Source organism: Homo sapiens, chromosome 6 (genome assembly GCF_000001405.40).
Source record: "Homo sapiens chromosome 6, GRCh38.p14 Primary Assembly".
NCBI classification, from domain to species: domain Eukaryota; kingdom Metazoa; phylum Chordata; class Mammalia; order Primates; family Hominidae; genus Homo; species Homo sapiens.
The window spans coordinates 623,468-643,847 of NC_000006.12; the positions used below are offsets into that span (position 1 = coordinate 623,468).

General features: G+C 39.6%; 1 protein-coding gene across 18 annotated transcripts in view; it reads right to left on the minus strand.

Moving 5' to 3' along the window:
* Window positions 1–20,380, minus strand: part of EXOC2 (exocyst complex component 2) — a 207,986-nt gene that overhangs the window by 138,314 nt on the left and 49,292 nt on the right. For all 18 annotated transcript variants that reach the window (NR_073064.2, XM_017011022.2, XM_017011023.2 and 15 more), the window contains 3 exons: window positions 14,234–14,394; window positions 9,474–9,650; window positions 6,368–6,494 (listed from right to left, as the gene is read on the minus strand). Coding sequence is in view for 17 of the 18 variants with exons in the window: in XM_017011022.2 (XP_016866511.1) it covers window positions 6,368–6,494; window positions 9,474–9,650; window positions 14,234–14,351 (422 nt within the window). In the remaining variant the exon portion in view is untranslated. The remainder of the gene's footprint in view (window positions 1–6,367; window positions 6,495–9,473; window positions 9,651–14,233; window positions 14,395–20,380) is intronic.

The window sequence follows — 20,380 nt, forward strand, 5'->3', positions numbered from 1 at the left end:
AAATCAGCCTTACAAGAACAAGACAGACATTATTTTCAAGATGGTGAAATTCTAACACAGATGTCAAATAATCTTCCCCAAATCACACCATTAAGGCCAGGACTAACCTTGCCCGGACACACAGAGCCTGTTTCTAGTGGACACTGTTGGCTATGACCCACCAATCACCCTGGACCCTCTCTGCTGAAACACAGCCCCCCAATTGCCCCTTAACTGGGGAGAGATCAACCACCATAAGCCAACCGCGCTTGTCATATTCCCCCTGCTCTTGATTGGATAAACTTGTTTTTGAACAGTGATGTCGGAGGAAGGTCTGTTGGAGCACATCTGGGAAAGGTCTCCATACTTTCAAGAAGGGAAACCAAGAAGAGACACCATCTTTCTGCCTGAGAACATCATTATGTCCAGTTTCAACCACAATTGCTAAGGAAATGTGTTTTATGCTAAGGGCAACAGAACAGCCAGCAAACCCAGGCTCCTCACATCTTGGTGACATGACTGACTCAACCAACCTTTGGAGTCTGCCATCAATGAATATTGTATATTATGAAAAAGTAGATTTTATTTTTGTTTAAATCAATCTTAATTGCAGGTGAAGGCATCCTGATTCCATATTCTATTGCAAAATATATGCCTAAATATACTGATCTTTTATGCAAACACCTCAAAAATGTGAAATAAATGAGTTAGAAAAAACAAAAAATGAATACCAATGCCAGAGTCCATGAAGCTCCATGGGTAACACAGCTGCAAAAGTACAGGTGGCTCATCTCAGTATTCCCAACGGGAAGCAGCAGTAATAAGCAGTGGCTAAGAGCACAGGCTCTGGGTTCAATCTCGATGTTTGCTCAATCCACCTGTATAATCTCGAGAAGTTATTCCATTATGAATGGATCACCATACCTTCCTCTTAGGAATGTTTTGAAGATCAGAGTAGATAATGCTTGTGGAAGCCTAGCAGTTTCTGACACATGATAAATGCTCAAAAATGTTATTTGCTATTATTTTTATTATTTATACTTATTTATATCTTACAGACTAATTTCCTAAGTATTATTTGATTCCCATGACAATAACTGAGTTAAATATTTCCATGTTCCAGATGAGGAAATGGCCTCTGAGAGGTTATATGTAAACAGTCGAGATTTGAACCTGGTACTTCTACTGTCAAACAGAGAACCAGAGGGTTTTAGGTGGGAAATACGATCACAACTACAAATCCGTAAAGATGACAATGCAGGAGAGTGCGAAAGGGGAGCTGCTTTCAAATGAAGAGAATTGCTAATGCCCTTAATAACAGTAACAGGAAAGGAAGAGGTAGTATATCAACACAGCTAATGAAGCACGGAGTAAAAACTCTTACGTTTGTTCAGAATAACTGGATTTCGGATTCTACATTTCCAAGTGAAGTCCCGGCTCAGACACATCAGAAAAAGCAACATACGCTCTGAGTACTTCAAACCAAGCCTGCATTTTAAATCCACTAGCACAGAGTTAGGACTGAAAGTGACAGAGACCCTACTGTGTAAACTCACGAAATGTTTTCATCGAGGAATCGAAACACACAGTTTCAGTCACGGACAATTCCTGCCACCCTGAACAGATATGTTTTCCATTAGATGGCAGTGTAAGGTCAGATTTAAACCTTCTAAAAAACAGCTAGCCCCAAGCCAGGAGAAGACACAGGCCTGTGGACTGAGCGAAGAGACACAAACAGGCACGTTCTTCACACTTCAGCACTTGCTTTCCAGTATGAGGACTCTCTGCAGCAATGACCCATGCAGCATGCAAATCAATGGGCCTCCTTCTGAGACAGCCCCAGCCACCCCACACACAGTGAGGCCTGGCTGCAGCGGTGTTATTCCGCGCTTGCGGCAAAGAGAACACACTTTCTTGATTTGGCGGATGGAAGACGGAGGGGGGAGGCCAACAGTGAAAGTGGGCATTGCTAGTTCTTTGTGTGCATGCTACACATATCTCTCGTAGCTTTCAATTTTTACCAACATTGTTTACACTCTGTTGTATTACGTATTATAAGTTTGTTTCCGTTCTTTTTTTTTTTTTTTTTTTTTTGTCTGACCCAGTTTCTGGACTTGAAGGCGTTCTCATTGCCCATCTATTTTTACACAAGTTCTAAAGGTAAAGTCACCTAAGGCTCTTTTCTTCTGCACTCATATTAAGAATTAATTTGCCGTCAGTTTTCCTCTTTTAAAATACAGTCTTCTAAATGTGGTGGGAAAATTGAAATTGGTCTTTTCTTTCTGTTTGAAGCCAGGCCGATTCGAAGAAAATCAGGTTTGCATCGCCCATAACACCCATGTAGAAATAAAACAGACACTAGTGGTGCAACAACTGACTCTTCTAGACAGCCATTCCCAGGTAATAAGTCACAAAAACAGTTGAGATCATATAAAAACAGTACAAAGCTCCTGATTTCTGCCCCTGCGCCCATATACAGACCGTCTCCTACACATTACCCATAAATACCCTCTTGTTAGGCAATTGAGTATTGATTTCAAGAAACAAAGCCTAGCAAAGGTTCTTACTTAACATGAACCTGTTTTTACCTTCCTTTTTGGTTTAAATAGTTTGTCAGCATTACAACTGAAGTCATGCAAAGACCACATATATTTGTGACAACTGCCATCGTAAAGCAGAAATATAGACTTTTTACAAGCAAATCCTAGTCTCAATTCAAAGTGAAGTTATTTTTTCTGAGCAATTAGTAACATTTTTATAAGTATCATGACACTCTGTGTGCAAAAACATCAGTTAAAAATTTAGGAATATGAAGGGTCTTAACAGTCAAAGACAGCCAACAAATGCCACGTTGTTAAACTTGCAGGCTGAAAGAAAAAAGCATGCAGCCTGGGTCCACCGGTAAAATATTTATTAAACTCTGACTCACCCCAAAGAGCCACAAGGCAACCGTACTGTGTTACTCTCACTGGCTTTGCCATCTTCAGCTGAACCGGACACCACACGCAGGGCCCCTCACGTTCCCAGTGTGCACGCTAGACCGTCAGCTGTCGAGAATTTATCACCACAAACTGACTTCTCTCCTGAAGGCTGCCTCCCCACTGCAATCTGATAACTCACTAGGACCACAGCACTCACAAATTCTTCAAACCTTTTTTTTTTTGAGACAGACTCTCACTCTGTCACCCAGGTTGAAGTGCAGTGACCCGACCTCTGCTCACTGCAACTTCCACCTCCTGAGTTCAAGTGATTCTCCTGCCTCAGCCTCCCAAGTAGCTGAGATTACATGCGCCTGCCACCACGCCCAGCTAATTTTTTGTATTTTTAGTAGAGACGGGGTTTCACCACGTTGGCCAGGCTGGTCTCAAACTCCTGACCTCAAGTGATCCGCCCGCCTCGGCCTCTCAAAGTGCTGGGATTACAGGCGTGAGCCACCACGCCCGGCCGCAAACTTTTTTAAGTATGTTTCCACAAACAAATAATACTAAAACCCTATTATTCCTTCAATACTGACATTTTCAAAAAGTAGGTGCTCTCTAGGTTTTTAATTATTTTTTTAAAAGCCCCAAATGACATTAATAAACAGAACTAAAAGACAGTAGGGATCCTGACCTGAGTACAATACCATCCTCTACCAAAGCCTTCATCTGAAAAATAGTAAGTAAATCAGCAAAATAAAACCCACATCAACATTCTACAGTCTGCCTTTCCTTCCTTTTATCTTTCTCTAAAACAAGATTTATCTAACAGAGGTCAAAGAATTCAGTAAGATAAACACAGCTTTCTTGACAGTATCCAAAAAAAAAAAAAAAAAAAAAGAAGCCTGGAAAAGCATTTTTCTGGCCAAAAGCATTATCTTCTCTTGGTTTCTACACCTATTCTTACTTTCATCTTTCATTTTCTTGCTTCCTGGAATCTCTACATCTAGCCTCTCTTTCTTTTGAAAGTCTTTTGCCAAACACTTTCAGACGGACAGAAGGATGACTGGATGTCTGTTCACGGCCTAAAGGGCCCTCCCCGTGTTCCCTGATGCTACAGGATCCGCGCCTTTCTCTGATCATTGGCTATTCTGAGTCTCTATTAGAAAGACAGAGCTGGCTTGTGGAGGGCTAATGGCGATGCCAGGGATTCCTGTCCACAGAAATGCACATCAGGTGAGGATACCACTGGCTCCTCCGAGACGGAGTGACGGTCTTGCATCTTTCGGCATTTCTCATTGCGTATGTCTCCCCTCTGGACTTTCCTTTGGGCTGGATTTAACATCTTATTGGTTCTTTCCTTAATTATGAGTTAAATAAAAGCTCTGACATCTATTTATTTTATATTTGTATAAGAATCATGATTTTCCCTTTTTCAAAAATTATCCTTTAATATTTTACTTTATCCCATGGCTGAGCAAATATTTCTGAAACTTAAGTAACAATCTGTACAGTAACATCAAAATCTGTTAATTTTATTCCCACTGAAGTACTTATTGGATAAATGTACATAATGTTATTTTAAAATTTTAAAACACTTTAGTACCCTGGAATCTTAAGTCATTAAACAAAAACTTTTCCTATGTGGCAGAACAATGAATAGTATATATCCAAGAAGAGCAAAGAATCCTGTAAGGATGAACACTTGTGAGGCACTTGCTATGCTCCAAGTTGTTTACCTCCTCACTTCCTGATTCCTCGCATCGACCCTAAGGAACAGGTACTGCATTGTACACCTGAGGAAACTGAGGCAAAAGGAATCTAAGTAACTTACTCAATGTCATATTGCTAGTAAGTGGCACAGCCCAAGTTCAAATTGAGAGAGTTTTGCCCCACACAAAATCAAACTACCTCTCAGAGAAGAAAAGAACATTTTAAGAAAGCTAAGTACTTTCAGTGCCATTATTCTTCACTGCCATTACCAATCTCATCAAATAATTAACCTGACACTTATTAGGAACACTGCTGTTAGACGCAGTTCAGGCCAAACCACACTGTGGGCAGCAGCAACAGGAATAATAAAGAGATTCAAAGGCTGAGAAGGTGTGGGGAGGTAGAGAGAACAGGGGTGGGGGTAAACACCAAAACAGAAGTTGAAGAAATCACGTTTATGATAGTAAACGTCTGAATGAACCCTAACTGATAATTTTGTCCAAGTCTCATACTAAATATATTTTGTATATCTCCATATTCCTTTTGCCCATGTATAAAACTGGCTCTTGGTTATGAAGAGCAGCTCAGAGGGCCTCCTGCTCCACACTTCTCAGGCAGGTTGGAAAGAGACTGGCTTTCCAGAGCCTTGAAGCACCCATAAGGGGCTTACTATCAACTGCAAGTCTATTCATGCTTAAAACTGTGCTCAAATAAATACCCAACTGTTACCATTATTTTCTAAACCTTCTCAATCTTTGAACTCTTAATTTTGGAGGCACTGGAATCCTTAAACGGCTCTAGAATGACCCATACTGCAAAAATGTTTCAAAGATGTTACCTAGAACAGTCAAAGCTCACGTGAAGCTGCTAAGCCCCAGACTTTTTCAACACGTGCTACTTTCCCAAGACAAACATGCTACTTCCCCTCAGCCAGGGGCAAACCCCAGCAGGTGAAAATGAAACTAATGATCTTCAAGAGTAGGCTTGAAGATTATATATAGAGAGATTATTGGAGAATTTTCCCCATTCCTAGAAAACCCTAAACTAAAACCATGGTTAAAGTATTAACAGTGCTAATTTGTCACTTTTGGTAAGAGTTTACAGAGCAATACTCAGTATACAATTCCATAAGCAGAAGCACTAAGGCCAGAAGATAAATTAGCTGCGATTAACACATTAGGTGAATTGTTTAAGTAGAAAGGCACTAATTATAAAAGTTACTAAAACACTGTACTAGGAATTCAGAAAAAAACTCTAGATTCAGTTATAAGGCATCTTGAAAGATATCATTTACCTGGCAGAATTCTGATGATTAAAGTTAAATAAGTCTGGATTAAGCAAGAATGAGTAGACATTATAGACAAAATTAAAGACCAGATTAGACCTGGCTATTCTAAAATACTTCTAGAAAAATCAAAAAAACAGATTATGTATGCTATTTTGACTTCAGGTGCCATCTACCTATTTAAACTTAACCATCTCTAGACAACATACTAAAGACTTTTCTTTTTCACAAAATGCAAAATCAAAAAACTGAAGAGGTAAAAGTAGTTTTAGCCACAAGTTTTAACTAACTGCAAAGTTTACTTGCAGCATAGCTAACAAGGCTTCATAAATAACACCCATCTCCAAACAACTGAGGTGTCTTCAACTGTGTTTCCTGGGATGTTTCTGGAGTTTGAGTCCCTTTCCTGTAAGTATATAAAACTTTTCAGGAACTGAAAAATAAAGAAGACTGAAAGCAAGATGGTACTCACTTTTCAATCTCAATGCCAAGCGGGTTAGCAGGACGTAAGGACAAGGGCGGAATTCCTTTGTTCCTGTCAGTGCGCATATCATAATAATTCATTTCATCAACCCACACAGCAGACTGATCCAAAATGCCTACAGAAATGAGGAGCATATGCTTAATAAGATGAAGCCTACCCCAGGCACCTTCTACGTCTGGCCTATTGTCTGACTTCTTAAAGACCTAATACAAAATGCCTGTTGGATAATCTTTAAGAGATTTGAGGACATAACAGCTAAATTTTTAAAAAATGACTAGTAGTTTAATTATAAGCACTAAAAAAATTTATAAAAAGGCAAAAATTACACCTCTCAGCTTATGGTTTCATTGTACATTACTCAACAGAGAAGACAAATTAAGCTGCTTAGACAAAGTTTTGCAATAACAAACATATTTTACAAATAATAAACACTACAATTAAACATTGTTAAATGTAGCTGATTAAATCTGCACAAAAAATTCAGAAAGTCAGTAAGATGAAATAATATGACCTATAATATCTGTTTATTCAAGAGAATATTCTGAAATCATGTAAACTCTTGGAAAATGTCTGGGAAATATCCAAGCACAAAACATTCGAGTAAAATGTTAGCTCAGTGGAAAGCTTCTGGTTTATGATAAATGCCGAAAAACCATTATGCATATATGATTTTATATTTAATACTGTGAGTTTCTGCTTCTGGGTTCCATAAGCTACCTAAGGACATTTCACTACAAATGAAAACCAAATGTTTTTTAAATGGTTCTTGAAAGCTCTCAAGAAATATCTTTTATTTTCTTTTCCTCTACAAACTCTGGCATGTTTTCATGAATAGTTATGCAAAAATAATATGCTACTTGCTATTTCTCATTCTTTTTGCTGTTATCAGTGCTGGAAATGTCCTAGATGGTAGAAACAGCAGGGATTTTTTTCCGTATTAGGCTGAAATCAATTTGGTAAATTCAATAAAATATCTAACGATTAAATCAAACACCTTTCAAGGAACGCATGGCTTGTATAATGGAAATAACCAGGTTATTCAGGGAAAACTGACTGGGTGTGGACCCTGTGAACAAGACAACATAAGCTCTAAAAACAGCATCTTCCTTTATGGGACTGAACTCCGTTATCATTCAACCTAGCACAGGGCTTACCAGCTAGGCCTCCAAGGCCCTGGGCTGCAACAGAAAAAGAGCCAAGTGCCAGGGAGCACAGACAAAGCGTGCCTGCCTCCCCAGGCGAGGATCAGAAGGCTTCATGGGAGAAGGCTGTCTGAATACCAGGCAACCTGTAGCTGCAAGGCCCTCTATGAACCCACTCATTCTCTCAGCACTCGTGGTTCTGCCAGCATGCAACAGGGGCTTCTGCTCAAGTCCAGGCACTCTTGAGTTCAGTTCAAGAAAGCTTTACTGGCCGGGTGCAGTAGCTCACACCTGTAATCCCAGCACTTTGGGAGGCCGAGGTGGGCGAATCACAAGGTCCGGAGTTCGAGACCAGCCTGACCAACATGGTGAAACCCCATCTCTACTAAAAATACAAAAATTAGCTGGGCATGGTGGCACGCACCTGTAATCCCGGCTACTGCAGAGGCTGAGGCAGGAGAATTGCTTGAACCTGGGAGGCGGAGGTTGCAGTAAGCCAAGATTGAGATCGCGCCATTGCACTCCAGCATGGGCGACAGAGCAAGACTCTGTCTCAAAACAAAAAGAAAAAAAAAAAGAAACCTTTACTAAGCCTACTATGTGCTAGGTCCTGGAATGAGTATTCCAGAATAATAAAATTACCACTTTTGCCTAAGTTTTCTTTATCTGCTATATAAATAGATCATAAGATATTAGATTTTTATCAAAATGTTTAAGTCCCTCTAGAAAACTGTACAACAAGTTCCTGCTTTAGTTTCAGTTTAGTTTTTGAAGACACTAAATAAAAAGAGTAAACAAAAATAGAAATGTTATATATGTATATATGTACACATGCACGTACATGTACATATATAAAGTCCACTCTGAATTTTCCCTGAAATTCCTTGAATTTTTATTTATAAAAATAATCTAGGAATTTGTGGAGAACAATGCTGCAGAAAGCCTCTATGCTCTAAGATTAAAAAAACAATTTGCAAAATTATTTATTTTCTTTATAAAGAGAAGTACTGGCTGGGTTTAATTACGCCTCTGATATTCCTACATTATACAAATATTTATCAAATGCTGACCAGGTGCAAGACATTACAGGACCACAAAGATGAATCTGACATTACTCTTATTCTAAAAAGGGAAAGAGACATGCACAGAAATAGCTACAAGAAAGATCATCAGAAATTATTAATTTGCTGGGTAAGGGACTATGCTAAGCACTTTACATTTATGTTCTAACTCACCCAATCCTATGAGGTAGCCAATATATTCCACTTTTGCTCATGGATAAAGAAGGTATTAAAGTTACATACTCAGTCATGGTAAGAGAGTCCAGGTTAGAATTCAAAGAGCATGACTTCTCAGACCAAGTTCCTAACGCTGCTAACGTAAGGCAGCAAGTTCCTAACACTGCTAACGGAAGGCAGCAAGTGGTCAGCGCATAAAGAAGGAAAACAAAGTGCTATGTGGTTCAAAGAAGAGTGAGTATTACTAACAGGGGCGTTAAAAGCAGCCAAGCTAGGAAATGTATCATCTGGGCCTTGAAGGATGGATAAAATGAAGGAAAAGGGAATATTATTTAGATATATTATTACTAATTTGGCCAAATCAGGATTTTTCACCTCAAACCTTGTTTAAGAGTTTAAAGCAATGTCATTATATTCAAGATCAAGGAACCAAAACTGGTATATCAAGTGAACGAACAGATTTTAAGAACTGAGAAGAGTAGTTCTCATACGACCGTCATCCTTAGGCTTCACTGACTGTTACCTCAGCACACTGCCTTCCCGAAAGTAACACAAATATTAACCAACATCCCAATCCTGTCAAAATAAACATAAACTAAATCTAAGTTGAGATATGCAAGTAGGTAGGTTTTACACGAATCTACCAGCTTTACAGCTTAAAAGACAAACTCATTTTTACTTTCTTCTTTAGAATAAACCCATGAAAGACTTTACCTATTTTCTCAGGTTTGAGTAGCTTGAAAGAGACTGTTGAGGTTCCTCTGCCACCTGACTTAGTGGTGACAATAATGTCTCCTTTGTCATTTTTGGCTTGTCCCACTCGACATACTATTTTACTTGCAGACATCCATTCTGCCGTCAGGAGGCAATTATGTCCACAAATGGTCAAGCCTGAAAATAAACGCATGTGCATAACAAAATTCAAAGACAAGAACAATAAGACCTTAATCGTGTAGATTACATTTTTTAAATCTAGTCTTGTTCAATAATGACATTATTGAATATACCCAATATTATTTGCAGATATACTGTTATCTCTATTGACTTTTCCTCTTACCTGTTTTTTTCTCCAATATTTAAGACTTCTTTTAGGCTACATTTGAGTTTCTTCAAACATCCGTAGAATTAGAAAACGAACACCACAACAACTATGTTGCAGGAATTCCAGATTACTTAGATTACGAGAATCTTAAAATGCTTTCAGAGGTAATAAAAGGGAAACTACTGCTATTATTTGAAGTCTCAGTTATTAACATAGAATTTTAAAGTGTATTAATAAACGTATGTATCATTTTCTAAAAACATTCTACATTCACCCATCTTCCTGAGACAAATCTTCACGTGCTTTTTCTAGTGTTCACTTATACATGGCATTACAGAATGAACTAAAGTAGGTTTTTTATTTAAGCATAACCAAGAGTCAGGTAATCTAGTGAAGTGTGCTCAGGCATTACTGGATTACCATCTCACTTTTACATCGGTGTGTCAGCTGCTGGCATAGTAGTTCCTCCTGCCCTAGTGCTTTCCTAATGAAACTGTCACTACACTACATTCTGCTCTTACAGTAAACCTACACTCCCAGAAGGTCAACTCATGATGTCACCTCCCTCATACCATGTAAAACAAAATTTAGGTAATAACCAAACAGAGAGGCACTGAAAGATGCAGTGAGTAAGGCACACACCTCAGGGGGAATACCAGCATGGCACCACACTGGTCAGCTAGCCTTCCAACTTACTTCCTTTAGATTTTCCATTTCCACAAAACAGAGACCAATGTAATTAATATTTATGGAGAAAAGAAACCAGAATGTATGTGGCACAGACACAGACACTTGACGTTTTCTTTTTTTTTTTTGAGACAGGGTCTTGCTCTGTTGCCCAGGCTGGAATGCAGTGGCGTGATCTTGGCTCAATGCAACCTCCATCTCCCACGCTCAAGCAATTCTCCAGCCTCAGCCTCCCAAGCAGCTGGGACTACCGGTGAGCACCACCACGCTCGGCTAGTTTTTTTGTTGTTGTTTTGTTTTTGTATTTTTTTTAGAGACACAGTTTCGTCATGCTGGTCAGGCTGGTCTCGAACTCCTGGCCTCAAGTGATCCACCTGCCTTGGCCTCCCAAAGTGCTAGGATTACAGGTGTGAGCCACCATGCCCGGCAGACACTTCACACTTTTTCTCATTATTTAACTTTCTATAATGTTCAGCACTAAGGTTTAGCAATGGCAATGTTTTCTTTCGGCTTTTTTTCAGATACCAGAAATATATCACCTAATGCCAAATCTGACTTTAAAATGGAGGCACAAAGTCAAATCATCTTTTGTTCCAACTTAAAGAACTATTTAGTAAGAATGTTAAACCATAAAGGAATAAAAGCAACTATGCTTTAAAGATACATTGCTTGAAATAATGAATTTTAGGGGTTTCTCTAAAATACCTATAATTCACTAATGTCTGCAACTTTGTTTTTCTAATAATGGCATTAAAAGGTTTCCTCAGGACTATGGTTTCTACTGGTATATTTTAATTATAATAACACATTTTTAAATATATTCATTATTCAAAATTATTTTTTTCAAAATGGGCATGTCTTTGATATTTTTTCTAATAATTTTTGTTATGAAAAACTTAAATAACTTAAGAGATTGAAAGCCTCTCCAAACTCCACCTCGCGAGAGAAATACTGCTAACATGTCAATGTTCACTTGCTCAAGTGATTCTGTGCATATAAAAACCAGTCTATATGTTTTTTAAACAACTGTTTCAATGTATAACCTGCTTAATTATTGACAGTAGGTATTTTGGTATCACTCCAGGTCAACAGACAACTTAATATTTTTAAGTATTTTAATATCAGATTTTTGTGATTTTAAATATTAACCCACTTCAGAATGAAGAACAACCCAACAATTAACGTCAGGTAGCAATGTAAAAATACAAATAGTATCTTCATTAAAGGAAAAAAGTCATCCCTAATGAAATTTCCTTGCTAGAGAACTACCTTATTTTTAAAACTGAGGAATAAGAGCAAATTTCAGATATAAAGTATTAAAACATGTTCACATGAGCAAACCTGAATGATATGCATGGAGGTCCCCGTTGGCACAAAAGTGCCCCTAGAACAATAGCTTATTCATTGGGTCTCAGCTGCTTTCACGATTCCTCTGATTTAATATCTGTTGTGCATTTTTACTCCAAAAAAATGAATAATCAGCAAATAATTCAAACACAGATTCAAGTAGATCATTTTAAATGTTATGAAAAGAAAAAAGATCGTTAAGACCTATTTCTTGATTTCTTAAGCACGTTTGCTAAGCTACGCTAAGAAATCTGCTTCATGAAATAAAATAGCACCTTTTAGAAAAAAAAAAGTAACTCATAGAATTCCAAGTAAAGTACTTTTTATAGTGCTTTGCTTGGCTAGTGTAGATATCATCTGAGTTAAAAACACTTAAATTATTTAGCAGGTTAAGTTTGCTTTTTTAAAAAATGGTTTCTTGGCAATATATAAGGCAGGTTGAAAGCTGAACTAGCATGGTTTAGAAAAGTAATACACAGGCCAGGCAAGGCGGCGCACGCCTGTAATGCCAGCACTTTGGGAGACCGAGGCAGGCGGATCACGAGGTCAAGAGATTGTGACCATCCTGGCCAATATGGTAAAACCCCATCTCTACTAAAAATACAAAAATTAGCTGGGTATGGCGGCACATGCGCCTGTAGTCCCAGCTACTGGGGAGGCTGAGGCAGGAGAATCGCTTGAACCCAGGAGGCGGAGGTTGCAGTCAGCCAAGATCACGCCACTGCACTCTAGCCTGGCAACAGAGCGAGACTCCGTCTCAAAACAAAAAACAACAGCAACAAAAAGAAAAGTAATACACGCTTAGTCAAGTAAGAATAGCATTGCCTGAAGCTCAAACAAGATTAAAATTTACCTAGACTATTGTCATGTTTGGGAGCGCACAATGACTGCCAGCGAAAATTCTGGACGGAACCCCCACCTGTGTGAGTAGATTTCTATGCATTCTGGGGATTTTTACACTTAGGTAAAGAAACATCTGGAATGAGCTTTATCAAAAACCAAGGCATAGGATTAGGTAAGACTACTTTTGCAGGAATAAATTGAAGTGATGTTTACTAAACAATCAAAAACTACCCAGGTTTTCTCCCGACTGTAACCTTTGTCCATGGTATTCCTTCATTTGGAGAGATGCCGGTCACAGTTAGAGAAAACAATATCAAATGAGACATAACACTAGCAAAAAGAATTGGCTAGGCAGTGCAAAACTCAGTCACTAAACACAGTGCTGAGCTCCCGTTCACTTTTTCTTTTTAAAGAGTTTTCTGGATGGCCAAAAACCAATCTATCAACCAGCAGTCATAATGCAGGAAAAGCAAGTTCCAATTCGTGATTTCAGAACCTTAGTAACAGCTCCGTCATCAGTGCAGAAATGAGTCAAGAGAATGTCTGAGTCCAGAAGAAATGTAAATGGGAAGCCAGAATATTCATTCAGTAGCACAGAGAGGGGCCTTTCCCTTCCTCATTCTGAATGCATCTGTATACCCACCTGAGCAGTTCACAGGCAAGTAATCGTAACTGGCCATAAAATTATACTTAAAACTCTCTACCCTGGCTGTCCCTAATACCCGTGTATATTTTTAAAAATAATGTTTAGGCTCCATCTTTAGAGACTGAAACTTAGTAGGCCAAATGATTTACGTTTAAAGTTCTAGAGAGATTCAGAAAAGCCAGGGCTGAGAAGCACTCGCAGACCTGAGAGCTTCAAGAACAGGCCATCAGTAAAGGCCGCCACATCATGGAAGGAGGAAGGCTACCATGCAAGCCAACATCCAGAAATATTTATACCACACCAGCTGGAGGTGTGGTGTCCTAACCATTCATGACCTTGAGCTTAAACTCCGCTAGAAAAGATAAAAAACATAAACTGCCCCTAAAAACTAAACTTTGGCTCGCTCCAGATAGGATCCACAGATCACGATGAGGACACATGCCCGCCAGGTGGAGTGAAGACAGAGCCAACTGCTGCCCGTGTCACCAGGAGATGGGGCTGAGACTTGCTTTGAAGAGCAATAAGGAACAGAAAAGGTGTAATTCACACAGCCCCTGAGAAGCAACAGACAAGTCAGACAAGGGAAGGAAAACTAATGAGAGCAAAACTATAAAAGCAGCTCTTTTGACAATCAAGACATCAAAGCTTCAGAAAATTCAGAGGCAAATCTCAGCCCTGGGAAACCTTCTGAAGGATTTGAAAGACAATATAAGGCAAGATTTGACAAAATAATGATTTTCACACAAAACTCAGAAAGCCAGATAATTCTTTCGTCTTTTTGGAGCATTCTGTAGAGATCACAAAGATGTTTGTTCTATCACCTTCACTGTTTGAAAATTACATATCTTGTCTCCCTTGTCCACATAAAAATCCGATTAGCAGGGTGCGTCGCAGGGCCTCTGCCCTTACCTATGAGGTCGGTGGGGCCAGTCCCCAGATTTTCTCCCCTGATTGTGACCTTCGTCCATGGTATCCCTTCATTTGGAGAGATGCCGGTCACAAGGGGGGGTTGTCGTGATCGAGACATTGTGCTTTGTGGAGCAAACTGGTGATCCTGTTAGAGAAGTAATCTGTTAAAAGAGAAAGAAAAAAGGATTAGTACCAACTGAGACAAGCATTGGCTGAAAATATAAGAATGCTAGACAGTCAGTACCAAAATATAAAAAGTATTCTTAAACACAGAGTTTTGAATTTTTTAGGGGTCATTTAGCCAATCAGCCAACATCTACTGAACATTAAGTTACTAAGGACACTCTGGTTAGTATTGCAAGAAAGACATAAGAATAACAGAATGCTAAGCCCTGGGTTCTAAAAACTTTCAGCACAAGGGCAGAGAGAAACTAATGTCACCACGTAGCTCCATGACTACCTCTGCTGAACCCTAAATTGATACTAGGAACTGTTCTACTGTTCTACCCCCAGGGCTGTTTAAAGGAGATATTCTGATTAACTATACTCATAAAAATAAAAACACACTTACATTCCCACAGGTGTACTGAATTTCAGTTTACTTTTGTGTTTATATAGTATAGCAACTCTTTTTTAATATGCTCAAATCAATGCAATATACTGACATTTCTACAAAACCTAGAACGTAGATACAGGCAGAAGCATGAATTTGCTAGCTGTTGTGAGTATAACAGAGGAGGGAAAAGTGTAGTTTCTGAGACCAGGTAGACTTGTGTTCAAGTACTGCTGCTCCCATTTACTAAATCTGTTCTAAATCTCCCTCTTCTTGTATGTAAAGTGGAGCTAGAAACAGAAAACATTTCATAAGGTTATTGTAAAGAACATACAGGATAATCCTTGGAAAGCCCAGTACCTGGCATACAGGAGGCAAGCAATAAATAATAAAAGTTTGCCGGGTGCGGTGGCTCATGCCTGTAATCCCAGCACTGTCGGAGGCCGAGGCGGGCGGATCACGAGTCAGGAGTTTGAGACCAGCCTGACCAACGTGGTGAAACCCCGTCTTTACTAAAAATACAAAAATTAGCCGACGTGGTGGTGCACGCCTGTAATCCCAGCTACTCAGGAGGCTGAGGCAAGAGAACTGCTTGAACCCAGGAGGCGGAGGTTGCAGTGAGCCGAGATTGCGCCACTGCACTCTAGCCTGGGTGACAGAGTGAGACTCTATCTCAAATAATAATAAAAATAATAAAATTTTACTAATAAACCCGAGAACTCAAGTGCTCAGGGCTTCAGATGCCCCAGAAGGTGGGGTGAGGCTCAGAGCAGAACAGTGAGACTTGCTGGTGACCTGTATCTTTATGGACTAAAAAGTTAGATTCCCTGGCCCCTGCCTCCATCCTTCACAGTCTGGAGAAGAGAAGTTTAGTCTTTTAAGAAACCAAGCAAGAGCACCAGGACTCAGAGACCCCCAGCACAGCAGAGGTGTGGGAAACTTGGGGGCAGGCTGACCAGGGATTTGGGGTAAACCTGTGCAGCAAAGCCGTGGGACTCAGGCTGCCTCCCTTCTCCTGCCCTTGCCACTGTGAGCAGGTGTGCAAGCCCCTCCTGCCCTTGCCACTGTGAGCAGGTGTGCAAGCCCCTCCTGCCCTTGCCACTGTGAGCAGGTGTGCAAGCCCCTCCTGCCCTTGCCACTGTGAGCAGGTGTGCAAGCCCCTCCTGCCCTTGCCACTGTGAGCAGGTGTGCAAGCCCCTCCTGCCCTTGCCACTGTGAGCAGGTGTGCAAGCCCCTCCTGCCCTTGCCACTGTGAGCAGGTGTGCAAGCCCCTCCTGCCAATCCCACCCTGTCCACACAACTGAAGCATTATTCCCCGCAGAAACTGAAGAGTCCTAGGAAAATAAGACCCAAAGATCCTGACACCTGAGTGTCTTCCCTGCAAAAAGGGAAGGGCCGCTTGCTTGTCCGCCCATCACCTGTACAGCCACTCACTGTAAACTGCCCACACACAAACTCAATCAAATCAGCGGTTAATAGTCTCACTCTAAGATGTGGGAGGCGTACAGGCCATGAGTGAAAGCTTCCCCTCTGCCCTCTAAAGGGTCGCTGGAGATGAATGAGGCTGGTTAACAGGAGCAAAGGGCAGACACATTTCTTTAATGTGCATGGACTCGCAGGAGCATGGTTACCCAACAAACCGGTGAGGTCCAGATGCTTACAGACCCTTCTTCAAAGGGAAAGGGAGGATAGGCGAAATGTGGCCATTTGGAGGGGTAGTAAATAATTTTTAGGGGGAATGAATGGGCCCAATGCTCAGATGGTAGTTAATAAATAATTCTGAGAATTAAATGGGACCTGAGAACAGACAACAGTTTGGACAAAGCCCATCTGGGCTCCAGGTGTAGTGTTTGATTTTCAGTCTCTTTTTCTATGATATGAGTTTTAATCTTCTCTGATTAATGAAATTTCAGGGAGGAAACTGAAGGCAAATGTGTTCTTCTTTGGTTGGTCTAGTTTCTCCGTAGGTAAGGGAACTTCAGATAAACAGCCTCATTCTGTGCTTTGGGAGAGACAGAAGGGGTGCGGGGAGAGCTTGAGGCTGCTTCCTTAGCGCAGAATGTCAAAGCACCATATTTTAGGGTATCGTTTTCTGACCCCCAACATTGGACAGCCAAAGGGAATGAGGAAAGATATGTAAGACAGAGATGGAAGAAAGACAAACAAGAAAAAAACACAGAACAAACATATTGCAGGTGTTGTATGGCCTGAATTATGCCCACCCACCTCACTCCGCCACTGCCAAATTTCATATGTTAAACCCAGCCCCAGTACCCCAGAATGTGGCTGTATTCAGAAAGGGGGCCTTTAAAGAGGTAATAAAGGTGAAACGAGGTCACATGGGTGGGTCCTAATCCAGTATGACTGGTGTCCTTATTGGAAGAATTTGGACAGAGACACACACAGAGGGAAGGACATACGAAGACTCATGAGAAGACGCTGTCTACAAGCCAAGGAGAGAGGCCTAAAACAGATCATTCCTCACGGCCCTCAAAAGAAACCAACCCCACTGACTCCCTCATCTCAGACTTCTAGCTTCCAAAAGGGTGAGAAAATAAATGTATGTTGTTTAAGCCACTCGGTCTAGTATACTTTGTTATAACAGCCCTACCAAACTACTAACAGCAGGTACAGAAAAAAAAAAACTTCGAAATCATTCTAAAGTTTGATACCAAATTAATATCGAGAGAAATTTTTTACCCCTAAAAGAACTAGATGCCATGAAAATAAATGAATCCAAGAATAAAAGCTCTTGAAATTTTCAAAAAGGTCCAAAGACACATGACTTATACAGTCATAATAATGTAGTAACTGACCACCGGTTTAAACAAAATTGAAATAAGGCACAAAAGGCGGATGTGTGTTTGGGGGCAGGCAAGACAGGTAAACCAGGGAGTGACCATCTTTTCTCTCACATAATGGGAGGCTGACAGCTAATGTCTAAAACGGACCACCAAGAAATGGCAGATTAGAAGAATCTGGAAATGTTGCAGTGGATGGCAGGAGAGAGTGGAATGAGTCTGGGGTATGTTGTATAATAGAGTATTTGACCTCTGTCCCTGGTTTCTGGGAGCGAGTCTTAAATCCTTGGTGTTTTCCGGCAATAGGAGGGTCTTTGTTATTCATGATCCTCTCAAACCACGCCCTAGTATAGGCCAAGATGACTCAACAGCAGGACTGGCCATTCCAGAAAGACCATGGGATTAGAGGGTTAGGGTTTTGAGCAAAGCACCAGCAAACCAACCTCCTGTGGAGAGGCGGGGCTGCAGATTAGGTTCAGTCCAACACGACTTAATCAATCATGCCTACGTAACTTATTTAATACAAATAAAATGGCAAAACAACAAAAAAGGAAGTCCAGAAAAACATTATCATTCATCCAATAAACCCAATGAGACAACTCAAGGTTACCTTGAGTTCCTCTCCTTCCCTCTGGCACCCCCTGAATCAAATAATCAGTATCTTTTGTCTGAATCAAAAATCAACTATTCCTCTCAATCCTACTGTTTCCTCCTGTTGCTCTCCCACTTAAGACCTTCGTCTTCTCCCCTCAATGCTGCAACAGACGTATAACTGGTAACTCTGCCCCATTTTCTCTCCACTGCAATCCACCCTCAGCAAATGCCAGTTAGTTCTCTAAAATATGGAGCTAATCAATATTATCCCTACCTTTAAAATAATCTTCTATGAAATCCACTGTTTTGTGGTCTGCACAGCCCACAACCTCCTCCACATCCCGTTCAAAGCCTGTCACAGCTAGACCCGTCCACACTGCCTACTTCATCTCCACCACTCCTCTCCTCTGACATTCCCCACATGAGCCCATTCACCTCTTACGAACCTGCCACATGCTTGTATTCATGTAATTCAACCTCTTTGCACCAAAGAGAAATTTCCAAGTTTATTAAATCTTTACCAATATTTCAAGTCATGCTCAAATGTTATTTTAGTCTCCCTGATCCCTCCTTCTATTAAACTTCTACTACATAATGTTAATATTCACTGTGTTAAATTTTAGATATTTTATTTGTTTCTTCTTTGAAAACACATCTTTAATCAATTTTATATCCCCACTTCTCAAGCTGTGGGATCTGACATGCTCATGTCAGGACTGAACTGAATTAGAGGACATCTAGCTGGTGTCCGCTGGAGAGCTGCTTGCTTGGTGTGTGGGGAAAACTTCACACACACCTGGTATCAGGAGTGTGTACTGAGTTAGTGGCTGTGTGAACATAGAAAGTAGGAAAAACACTTGGATTTTTTCCTATCTCTTTATAAGCAAATAAGCAGATAACCGAAATGGACCCCAAGATGAACCAGACAGAAGAATTAGTAGATAAGAACTTAAAAGAGTCTATAACAAATGTTATTAAAATATATGTAATCATAATGAATAAACAGATGGTTGTTCTAAATAGAGGAATTAAAATTATAAAATTATTTTTTAAAAAGAAATGCAATGCAAATTCTAGAACTGAAAGGTATACTGTCTGAAATGAAAAATACACTGATTAGGCTGCACAGTAGGTAGAAGATATTTGAAGAAACAGTCAGTGAACATGATTATAGATCAATATAGTTATAGAAATAGATTTATCTAAAGATATATAGTTCTTTAAAGTACTGGAAGAAAAAAAGTCTGAAATTAAAGTTGTAAAAGGCATTTTTCAAGTAAAAAAAAAAAAGTTCATTGCAAACAAATCTGTATGACAAGAAATGCTGAAAGAAGTTCTTCAATCTGAAGGGGAAGTGATACCACAAAGCAATTTGGTAGGAGAGTTTATAATGATGAAAGGACAAATTCATCAGAAAGACATAACAATCAAAACTGTATACACCTAATACAAGAGCTTCAAAACCCATTAAACAAAAACTGATTGATAGGGAGAGATAAATACACAATCATAGTTTGAGGTTTTAATATTCCCTTTCAATATTAATAACTAGATATTAAAAAACAAACAAAAAACATAGAAGATATGAACAGCACTGTTGGTCATCCTGACCTGACATTTATAAAACTCCTTTTCAGGTGCTCATGGAATGTTCACCAAGATAGACGATATGCTGGGCCATAAAGTAAGTCACAGGCAATTCCAAAGACCGAAATTCCGAAGATTACAAAGGAATCTTCGTTAGCAATAGAAACACAATATCCAGAAAAGTATCCAGGTATTTGGAAATTAATACACTTCTAAATAACCCAACATTCAAAGTAGAAATTAAGAGGGAAACAAAATATTTTGAAATGAATGATAAGAAACATTTATCAAAATTTGTGGAATGCCACCAAAGCAGTAACTTAAAATCTTAGAGAAAAAATATTTAAAATTAAGAATCTATGTTTCCACCTTTTAAAAAAAAAACTAGAAAAATAAGGGCTAAATAAACTCAAAGTAAAGGGGAAGGAGGGCAGGAAAAGGAAGCAGAATGACAGAAATAGGAAAAAAATAAACAGTGGAAACCAATAACATAAGTAAAAAGAATTTGAAAAAAATTAAAGCCAAAAGTTCTTCACCAACAATTAATGAATTGATGTTTCAAAAAAACTCTCTAGAAATGAAACAAAAATTATCAATTTCAGTAATGAAAGA